General features: G+C 46.0%; 1 annotated feature.

The window, feature by feature from the left end:
* Positions 9,938-10,497: an enhancer, noted in NCBI's record as "OCT4-NANOG hESC enhancer chr19:32065114-32065673 (GRCh37/hg19 assembly coordinates)". NCBI's record gives its function as "activates a minimal SCP1, AML or CMV promoter by ChIP-STARR-seq in naive H9 embryonic stem cells {active_cell/tissue: H9 hESC(naive)}" and the evidence as "EXISTENCE:reporter gene assay evidence [ECO:0000049][PMID:30033119]".

Genomic DNA, 11,933 nt, shown 5'->3' on the forward strand with positions numbered 1-11,933 from the left:
AGGTCCATCAGCCTGAGTCTAAAACCCACTTAACTCCAGTGGATGGTGACATGCACTAGGCTGTTCTTGCCAATCCTATAGAAAGCCATGTGTTTGGCCCTCATGGCCATTGTAGATCACCGGGACCTGCTAGAATCCTACTACAGCCTGTTGGCAGACTGTTTCTTGGATGGCTGGACTGGAAAGACTTCACCAAATGGGCCAATTATCTAAATGGTGAGTTGCTGTTCTATTTATTTCTAAGGGATACAGTTTGGGCCCTAGAATTACAGAATTCAGAATGGGAGGGGGCCTTCATTCAACTTCCCATCAGCATAAGAATCTTCTCCCAAAGTTCTTGACTGGTGATGCTCTGGTCTTCCTGCACTACAGGGGGCATGGAGCCTGTCCTATGCACAGACCTGGTGAAGGGCACCAGCCACCCTTTTGTACCAGATATTCCCACCGTGTGTCCTGGCCACGCCCTTCATTGCACTGGGATGATGCCCACATGTACCAATCCCTATACTGGCCAGTGACCTCTGACCCTGCAGCAAAAGATAAGCTGAACCACTGTCCTTCCAGGAATGGGAGCTAAGATCAGTGTCAGAGGGCAGGGGACTTCCAGGTTGTGGGTCAGTTTCAGGTAGACAGAGCCACACTGGCAAGCCAACAACCAATGAGAGCTGGGGTTTTGAGGAATGGAAACTGTGAGAAGGAAACAAGGCTAGTGGGATGCAGGGAAGGATGCAGTAGACCCATGCCATGTGGCTGGCCTATGCTAGCATTGATCATCCAGGTCACCACCGGGGTCTGACCCTAGCTCAAGTCAGTATGAACAGGGGCAGACCTGCGGTATACGGCTGCACAAGCTGTGCACTGCACAAATTATGACCTCTTCTGGTTGGCAACATTATGGGAGCCTTTGCCTGGCTTCCAGAACCCAGGCTAGAGGTCACACACTGGAGGGTTGGGTTTGAGCTCAGCTCTGCCTCTGACTGGGTGGCTTCAATGGAACCCTGCCTCTCTCAGGGCTCAGTGCTGGCTGCCTGTGAAATAGAATAGCAATGCCAGTCCCACCTGCCTCAATGTGCTCAGGAGATGAGAAGATTGTGATGAGAAGGGGCTTTTAACATAAAAGCCCCATGCAAATATAAAAGTTATCGTTCTTTAAAAAATGTTCTGTGATGTGAAGAGTGGACGTGGATTCATCAGTGGAAACAGGAAATGGGTGGATGAGTCAGCTGGGCCCGGGTGGACATAGTTCATAAGGGAAACACTTGCTCTCCGGCATTGGGAAAAAGAGTGTGGATGGCTCTCAGCAGCCAGTGCCCTCCTCCTCCAAGTGCAGCAAGTGTGGCCACAGCTCATAGGTGCCCCTTCTCGGGATAACCACCTCTGCCATGGAAGCTGCCATGCCTGGGAAGCTGTGTTCCTGTCACCCCCTCCTAGGGCAGCCACAGCCACTTACCGGCTGAGATGAAAGGCCAGGCCCTTCCCGCCAGTTGCAGGCTGTGCTCCAGAACCCTCTCCCAGTGGAGCCAAAGTGAGGCTTTCCCTGAGACCGTGTCCTGATGGGGTGTTTCTCAAGCCCTATCCTGCACCCTCTATCTCTTTTTTTATTTTTATTTTTTAGAGGCAAGGTCTCGTTCTGTTGCCCAGGCTGGAATGCAGTAGCAGGATCATAGCTCACTGCAGCCTTGAACTCCTGGGCTCAAGTGATCCTCCTGCTTCAGTTTCCCAAAGTGCTGGGACTACAGGTGCATACCACCTGTAGTGCCTGACTCTCCCTCCATCTCTTAATAGGCCTTGCACAAAGATACTCCTTCAGAGCTCATCTCATAAAAATCCCTGGGGCAGGCCCTACTTCACCAGAGCCCAACGTACAGCGGCAGCTGGCAGAGAAGTGAGTGCGGGAGCACTTGATTGAATCTTCATGTAGCCAGGCCCTCCACATGCCTGAGCCACTGTACTGGGGCATAGGGTAGGGGAGCCTGGAAGCAAACTCTGCATCCTAGATTCACATGCAGACATGTCCTTAAGAGGGGTCCCTGAATCCAAATGTCCATCAATGATAGACTGGATAAAGAAAATGTGGCACATATACACCATGGAATACTATGCAGCCTTAAAAAAGAATGAGTTCATGTCCTTTGCAGGGACATGGATGAAGCTGGAAACCATCATCCTCAGCAAACTAATACAGGAACAGAAAACTAAACACCGCATGTTCTCACTCATAAGTGGGAGCTGAACAATGAGAACACATGGACACAGGCATGGGGGGCCTGACAGGGGGAAAGAGGAGGGAGAGCATTAGCACAAATACCTAATGCATGCGGAGCTTAAAACCTAGATGACAGGTTGACAGGTGCAGCAAACCGTGGCACATGTATACCTATGTAACAAACCTGCACTTTCAGCACATGTATCCCAAAACTTAAAGTAAAATTAAAAAAAGAAAAAAGAGGGAAGGAGGAAAGTACTGAGCAGAGGGAGAAGGTGAACCGGGATGCAGGCACACGTGAGGCCTTGGCCAGTCCCACAGGCAGCTCTGAACTGAATGTCTATGTCCTCTGCAAATTATATGTTGAAATCCTAACCCCCAATGTGACGGTATCAGGAGCTGGGGCCTTTGGGAGGGAGTAGGTCATGAGGGTGGAGTCCTCGTGAGTGGGATTAGCGCCCTTATAAGAGGCCCCATGGCCAGGCACGATGGCTCATGCCTGTACTCCCAGTACTTTGGGAGGCTGAGGAAGGAAGATGACTTGAGCTGAAGAGTCTGAGACCAGCCCAGGCAACATAGCAAGGCCTTGTCTCCACTAAAAATAAAAATATCAGCTGGACATGGTGGTGAATGCCTGTAGTCCCAACTACTCAGGAGGCTGAGTTGGGAGAATCTCCTGAGCAGGGGAGATGGAGGCTGCAGTGAGCTATGATGGTGCCACTGCACTCCAACCTGGGTGACAGAGCAAGATCCTGTCTCAAAAGAATAAATAAAATACAATAAGATACATAAATAAAAGAGGCGTGGGAGAGCTCCCTCATCCCTTCTGCCATGAGAGGATTCGGAGAAGATGGTGGTCTACAGACCAGGAAAACTGTTCTCACTAGACACGGAATCTGTAAGAACCTTGGTGTTGGACTTCCCAGACTTCAGAACTGTGAGAAATAAATTTCTGTTGTTTATCATCCACTCAGTTTAAACTATTTTTTTAACAGCAGCTAAAATGAACTAAGACCTTTGGAAGGGCCCCATCTTTGCATCCTGTCTCAACCAGTAATTGGGTGTAGGCTGCCCCCAGGGCATGGTATGACCTTGGGGAGCCAGCTTTCTCTAGCAGAGGTCAATTCTTAGAAGGAATTCGGCTGAAAGCTGTCAGGGACCAGCCTTCTCGGGAGCCAGAGAATGCATCTCTTGTTCCTAAAGGGGTCATCTGCATGGTGTAGCTACTATGTCCTTCCATCATGGGGCAAGCAGAGCTTTCCCTCAGAGTCAACTTATCTCAAGCATAAAGGATTCGGTTTTTCCAACGGAATTTCCAAATCATTGCTGGGTACCTAGTGCTGTACAAGTGAATCCCTCAGGTACGTTGCATCTGCCTGTGAAGAGACCGCTATGTGGGAGGAGAGGCAGGCAAGGCACGGCTTATACCTTGGCCACAGTGACTGCATGTCCGCCCAGGCCATTCCTCCCCACTCCGTCCCCAAGCTCCGTGGACCTACCTGCCTTTATAGGTTGTGAACCCAGAAAATCTGAGATAGGTCTCGGTTAATTTAGAAAGCTTATTTGGCCAAGGTTGAGGACGTGCCCGTGACAGAGCCTCAGGAAGTCCTGATGAAATGTTGCCCAAGGTGGTCAGGGCACAGCTTGGTTTTATACATTTTAGGGAGACATGTGGTTCGGTCTGGAAAGGTGGGACAACTTGAAGCAAAGGCAGGAAGACTGGAAGTGGGGAGCGAGCTTCCAGGTCACAGGTGAGACACAAACCCTTACATTCTTTTGAGTTTCTGATTAGACTCTCCAAAGGAAGCAAATCAGATATGCATCTATCCCACAGAGCAGAGGGGTGACTTTGAATAGAATGAGAGGCAGGTTTGCCCCAAGCAGTTTCCAGCTTGAGTTTTCCTTAGCGATTTTGGGGGCCCAGGATATTTTCCTTTTTCAAGGTGCTGAAGGGATCCCAAGAAGCGAGGGACTGATTTTTTTTTTTTCTCAGCCCCATTGCAATGGAATTTTTTCATTGTTTTCCTCATGTTCTACCTGCAGGAGTGTACCCTGCACCGCTTCATGCAGGACATTCTGAAGAGTGTGAGAAGCAAAAAAAGAATCTTTGCAATGTATATTAGTAACATTTAATTAGCCTTGGATTACTTATTAAGTGACAATTATCCCTATTATGCCTGTCACAGATGAGCGACTACATACTGTCTATGGTTTATGGGCCTAAAGTTCTCCACGGAGTGTCACAAATTCCCATTATGTCCCCAGCGCTGGGCTTTGCATTTGGAATGTGAGCAGAGGTGAATCGTCCCCTTTGCACAGCCAGATGTATCCCTGTTGACTTGGCAATGAGGCAGGGTCGGGCCAGCCTTCCTTCTGGTAAATGCAGAAAACTCATTAGCAGACACACTGTTGATGGGGTGCCCTGGCTGGCGGAAGGGGATTGAGCCATTGAAACTGGACAGGTCTCCTCCCCAGGCATCATCCTAAATTCTAGTCTCACAGATGTCACACTGGAGGGCCTCTGGAGATCATATCTTCAAACCTTTGAATTTGTCGCTGGGAAATCAGAGTTGCAGAGAGCATGTACGGTGTGTCTCTGGACCACAGCTGCATCCCTGAACATTCCCACTATGCCAGAGGCATGCCCTAGACACAGAATCCTGGACACCTCGCTACAGAAAGGTCCTTTTTAGCCAAATGTCCAAATGTCCCATAAGCCACATTCCCTCTCTGTGACCTCTTTCTGACAACTCCCTTTCCATAGAAGCTGGAGATCTCAGGAATATGTAGACAGCTAATGACCTCCCCCATCATCACCACCCCAAAAGTCACTGTGATACATGGAGAGATGGGCGCCATATTCCTCAAGTTCTATGGTGCATGAAATCCTGCCTTTAGACTTTTTATGTGGAATATGTCATACTCTTTTTTTTAATATTTTTTATTATACTTTAAGTTCAGGGTACATGTGCATGACGTGCAGGTTTGTTAAATGCTCATGATCACTGGCCATCAGAGAAATGCAAATCAAAACCACAGTGAAATATCATCTCACACCAGTTAGAATGGCGATCATTAAAAAGTCAGGAAACAACAGGTGCTGGAGAGGATGTGGAGAAATAGGAACACTTGTACACTGTTGGTGGGACTGTAAACTAGTTTAACTATTGTGGAAGACAGTGTGGTGATTCCTCAGGGATCTAGAACTAGAAATACCATTTGACCCAGCCATCCCATTACTGCGTATATACTCAAAGGAATATAAATCATGCTGCTATAAAGATACATGCACACGTATGTTTATTGAGCCACTACTCGCAATAGCAAAGACTTGGAACCAACCCAAATGTCCAACAATGATAGACTGGATTAAGAAAATGTGGCACATATACACCATGGAATACTATGCAGCCATAAAAAATGATGAGTTCATGTCCTTTGTAGGGACATGGAATATGCCATACTCTTTAAAGAATGTATACTGTCTCCAACACAAGCCATCAACTCTTTGGCATAAACGAGCTTTCGAATTTCCTCTGTAAAGTGCATTTTAAAACACCAAGGTCTAAGAAAAGTCAGACATGGGGCCAGGTATTGTGGCTCATGCCTGTAATCCATCACTTTGGGAGGCAGAAGCGAGTGTATCGCTTGAGCTCAGGAGTTAGAGACCAGCCTAGGCAACATGGCGAAACCCCATCTCTACTAAAAATACAAAAATTAGCCAGGCACGGTGGTGCATGCCTGTAGTCCAGCTACTTGGCGGGCCAAAGTGGGAAGATCGCTTGAGTCCCAGAGGCAGAGGTTGCAGCAGTGAGCCTGGATTATCTTTCTCGGATCTGTGAGCCAAGATCACACGACTACACTCCAGCCAGGGCAACAGAGCAAGACCCTGCCTTCAAAAAAAAAAAAAAAAAAAGCCAGACTTGGAGAGGGGACCCAAAGGTAAATCAGGGACAGTCCCACCCTGGGGGAGAAACTGACCAAGATGGGGAGTTTCTTGCAGGCTTCCCAAGGAGTGAAGGAGGTGGGCAAAACAAGGATGGAGAATGAGCAGCCTTAGAGGCCACATGCCCCTGGCGGGAGGTGGGGGAGAAAAATATAAGCTGGGGAAGCATCCTGGTAGTGTCTTACCATCTGACCATTTTACACAACTGAAACTCAGAGCTTTTGTACAAGGGCAGCCAAAACAGATTTGCAAGTTAAATGTAAACAAAACCACAAAACTATTACATTTAAATAGAAAGTATTACAAAACAATGGAATTTAAATCAGCAATATTAATTCAGCACAACGGATTTGTCCTGTTCTGACGTAAAAGGCTGTTCACAGTATGTGAGTGGCAATCAGGGCCACCCAGTGCACTGTGTCCTGTTTGGCCAGCCCCCCTTGGCATGGGCTATGGTCTGATTCCCTCACTTACCACAGTGAAGCCTTCACACATCCAGCCACTGTGTGCCAGGCGGCCTATCCTTGGACAGAACACATCACCTATTCATAGCAAGTCTCTCTCGGCAATTCTCATTAGTCTGCAACAACTGGGACTGCACTACTTTGCCAAACTGATCAAACCATAAAATCAAACACCAGCTCTGACATCACATGGTGGCATTCAGGCTGGGCTTCCATAATCCTTGTAAACATAACATTATACAATTCACAAATAGTAAGAGCTTATGATCTACCAGTTAAAAGCTGAGACATAGAGATCAGGCTGAAACTCTCTTTCATCACTGCCATGAACTTCATCCCATCTAAGTACAACCTTGTCCAAAGCAGAGGCAGATGTTGCAGGATTTTCGGGATGGAGTCTAAGGCCCAGAGGCCTGGGGTGGAGTCATCATTCTACCGCTTTGTGCTGTGTGGTCTTGGCGAGTCATCATTCTGCCGCTTTGTGCTGTGTGATCTTGGACAAGTGACTTCACCTCTCTGTGCTTCAACTCCTCATTCTGTAAAATAAAACTCAGATGGTAACTGCCCCCATAAAATCGCTGCGAGCATCATAGGCATGTTAATGTATGTGAAATATTTAGAACAGTGGCTGGCACTATGTTAGCACATGTAATGTAAATAAGCATTACTCTCAGGTTGATGTGGCTCTTTCTAGATCATTTGTACACATTTACTAATGTGCAAATATATTCAGTATGTTTTGATGTTTTAAAAAATATTTAAAGATGCAATCATACTTCCTGAATCATTCTGCAACTAGCCTTTGCTCTAAATAATCCATGAGCTTCAATATTTCCTCCCCAACACATCACTACACACGTGCCAAGCAGATCTGAAAGAGCATTTGAATGGGTGCGGCAGTCCACACCTGTAATATCAGCACTTTGAGAGGCTAAGCTGGGAGGACTGCTTAAGTCCAGGAGTTTGAGTCCAGCCTGGGTAACATAGTGAGACTCTGTCTCTACCAAAAGATACAAAAATTAGCTGGGCGTAGTGGCACGTGCCTGCAATCTCAGCACTTTGGGAGGCTGAGGCAGGGGGATTGCTTAAGACCAGGAGTTCAAGACTAGTGTGGCAACATAGCAAGACCCTTTCTCTATAAAAAAATAAAAAATAAAATTATCCGACCCTGATAGTGTGCACATGTGGTCCTATCTGCTAAGGAGGCAGAGGCAGTAGGATTGCTTGAGCCCAGGAGTTCAAGGCTTCAGTGAGCCATGATTACACCACTGCACTCCAGCCCGGGTGATAGAATGAGATCCTGTCTGTAATCCGACCAACCAACCAAACCAACAAACAAAAGCAAACATATAGAGCTGAGACTAAGGGTGGTGCTGGCTCATCCTCCGCCTGCTCCACTGGTCCTCTCTGGCCTAGCCTTTCAGAGCACAGCACTGCAGTAGCTCTCTCTGCTGATTCTGCCGTGCTGGGGCCTCCAAGTGCCTTTTACAGCACATTAGGAATCTGGCACCATAAGCACTGAACTTTCCTAAACTGAAGTTCATTTTAAATGCACTAAGGCAAAGAACAATTCAGAGGAAACTTAGCCCATCTGTGTGTGTGCGTGTGTGTGCACGCATGTGTGCATGCATGCAAGTATGCAAAGAGTCCCCTGGGAATTGCTCTAGCTCATGTATTAGGGCACATGTGGACTGTGTATTGTGAGAGCAGAGCTACCTACAATGGCAGCCACTGTATTTTTCAATATTAAAAACCACTCCTGGTTACTGGCAAACAGCCACCTTCTCTGCTGTGGAAAGCCTCATGCCCTGGGCTCCTCACCTTACCTAATGACAAGATATGCACATAGGCAACATGTTTGGAGGATGGCAGGGGCTGAAGGGATTATGGCTAGAGCACCGGGCCAGCAGCCCACCTCTCCTCCACAGAAGACAGAGCAGAAAGCATGGCGGCAGGCATTTAACTCTGCACTTAGCCGCTGCTCATTAACGAGCTCTCTGGTGGAAGTCTTTGCAGCTACTCTCTGGCACTGGAGGTTTTGTCATCCCACCCACGACAACCTCTGTTAGTCAATAATAACAGCTTATTTAAAAATAGCAGCATCAACTGTTTGCACTGTTATTATCTGTGCCTGGCTTCTAGCCCCAGAAGACTTGGGAAAGGTGTGCGACCTGCTTTTCCGGAGCTTCTCTTGCTGAACCTGTTTCCAGATCTGGGGAAAAGACAGGCACATCTTTAGCAAACACTCACAATGTAATTGCCAGGCAGTTATGGGCTGCGACAGTAAAATACAGCAGTTGGCGGCACGGTAGGTTCATTAGTCAATAAAGCATTGCCACGCGTTTTATTGAATTGTAACCCTATTTTGCCCTGATGCGGACCTTGTGGAGCCTCTACCTTCACATAAATCTGAGTGATTCATTTAGCATTCAAAGTCGAGTAAAAGGAGGATTTGGTCCAATTCCAATGCAACCCTGCTCCATTAGCTATCTCTATTATTATCTGCCTTTGCCTCCTCCGTCAGTGGGGACATTTTGATAAAAGCTTACATCGGAAATAAATCAGGGAGTGAATGGCAGGACATGAACAAAATAGCTTTCCTATAGGCCACTCTGTCCCTGGAATGCCCAGGAATGGCTCAGGGCTGGTAAGGAGACCGAGTGGACGATTCCCCTGGCATCCCTGCATCCAGCCATCCAACCCACTCAAGACGCCGCTGGTAAATGTATACTACGCTCCTATTTTTCTAATATCTGACTTGAAATACATTTGACATGGTCTACTTAATGTTAGATAGCTGAAAAATATTTTATTATTTACATTGTTTATTTCAGGACAGAGATTTAGCTCTATCACTAAAATGTCCACCCCCAAAGTGAGCAGGATTCTAAAACTAGAAAATAATAACAGGGCACAAGTCAATGTTATTCATTCCATATCTGTGAGAAGTACCCCAAATAATTTGCTAATTTTAAAAAATCATATCTGTTTGCAAGCAATATTCTCATATGGTTGGGGGATCTGGGATAATCAGAGCAAGAAGGTGGACTTACAAATTGTAGGGAGTGGAAAATAGAAAAAAGATTTATAAAATAATATGAAAATATGGGTGCTGATGAGAAACACAATTTTTACTTTTAGAAAATGGTATTTTTAAAGTGTAAGAAATGCAAAATTGATTACTGAGATCTAGGATCAACGACCAGCTATTTTTTTAAAAAACTGGCCAAAAAAATAGGAGGAAAATACTAAAAATTAAGGCAAATTCAAAAGAGAATAAGATAGAAGACAGGAATTTCAATGACCCAACATCAAGTCCATACTCTGACCTGCCTGCCCCACTAGAAGGAAAATGAGCATATCTTTTTACCCATGCCTTGTCTGAGAACCCCAAAGTGTCCAGTTATTTCTGAGACTTGAAGACAGTGCCCCATAATCCCATGGTGGGGTGCTGCTTGGCTTTTTAATTATGTTAATTACATGTTTGCTTCCTTGGAGTTTGAGGCCAGTGGTCCCGTTCAGCATTGCACCTTATACAGAACCAGTAACAGCAGCATCGGGGGAGGAAGCATCAGTTAAGGGAACCACAGGTGTGCTATTTGTTTCCGATGGCCTTCCTCGTCTCCTGATAGCTGACAGTTCAGCAAAGGGAATTAGTAGCACTTGTGGGCAAAGAACCGAAGAGACTCTTTTTCCCTATTCGATGAGTGCCATATGAAAGGTTGTTTCCGTAGCAGCTCAGAGCCCTCCTTGCTGTCTCCTAAAGAGAAGCCTGCCAAGTCGGGGCTGTGGGTTTTAAGAGGTACAAACAAAGGTGGCATGGTAGGGCAGACCAGAGGTGCGGGGACTCAATGCAGACTTCCCCATGGTTTCAGGGTGTCAATTTCCAAAATGTGGTCCCTGCTCTCCTTCCCGCCAGACTCTGAGAAGCAAACCTTGCTGGCAGGAAACCTAGCCAGGAGTGGCTCCGTTCCCTGGCCTCTTCTTTTTTTCTGCCACGTGTAGCCCTGATGCCCATAACTAAAAATCACGTTCATAATTTAATTTGGGGGGATCGGTTGCCAAATGCTCATTAAACAATTGGGTCTTTGAAAATGCTATCTTTAGATTTTTTTTAATTGACCTATTATTTTCTGGCTCTAGCTGCCAGATCCCCCACCGCAAACAAGGAGAAGCTTGCTACCTGGACTTTCTTTGATGAATAGTTTTAATTAAAAAATTCTGTACCATAAGTATTTTAATCTTACAAACATACCAAAGGTATGCAGTCATAAATTTACAAACACATTTAAATTAATCTATAAATATGCTGCAAAATTGACAAGGCATATTTAAGCCGAAGGATGCACCATAGATGTGCTAATAATGACAATTAAGAATCGTGTAAAATAAATGAAAATCAATACTCAGAACAGGTTGACAAAAAGGAAAAAAGGGAGGAACTAAAACAACGTGTAGTTTGACTATTAGGGGAAAAAATTAGTAGCTGCTTGTAGTTTTGAAATGTCTACTACCGTGAAGGAAGGGCTCCTGGTGGCATTTTTTTTTCTCATTCTCGTGGATCATAAAAACGCCCCTGCTGGGGTGACAAGACGGACCTATTTGGGTTGGGTGGTCTGGAAGGAGGAGGGCTCTGCTTCAATTCTCTAAACAAAATATACACCTTGCCAGTTACAGATCTGAAAGGAAACCATCCAAGGTAAGCTATGTGCCTAGATGCTGACACATGGACACATTTTTTTTGCACATGGTGATCTGTTTTCTGCTTTTTAAGCACTGGGACAAGTTGTGGGGGTGTCTGTGCTCCAGGAGGCAGGAGTATTTTGTGGCCAAGACAGGTAACTACCTGTGCTATAGGCATCACGGGTCATCCACTCACAGGAGCAAGAGGTGCTCAGGAGCACCTTTGTGTCTCCCGGCAGAAAGCACCAACTGCAAAGAGACGTGAGTGTGCCGCTCCCACTAATTCACAGAGTGCCTTGCTGTGCCGAACCAGGAAACACACGCTAACCTTCATGGCTACATTCATATTAAAAGACAACTTTGCGTCTTTCAATCATGTATTTCCCTCTAATTAAGGCATATTCACTTTTTCCCCCTAATTAGGTATTCTTTGTTGCATAATGTTTGCTCTAATCTTTCGGAATCTTTCTCAATATCCAGTCATTACAGGCTCCCCTCGAATTCAACCAAAGCATGTTATTTTTTCTGCTAATTACATCCTCATTTACAGATTGGCGCCTCCTCTGATTGGCTCTGCGCACCAGTTGCTATGACTTCATTAGTCGTGTCTCCTGACCCTGTTATTTCTTGTGAC

This window comes from Homo sapiens, chromosome 19 (genome assembly GCF_000001405.40).
Source record: "Homo sapiens chromosome 19, GRCh38.p14 Primary Assembly".
NCBI classification, from domain to species: Eukaryota; Metazoa; Chordata; class Mammalia; order Primates; family Hominidae; genus Homo; species Homo sapiens.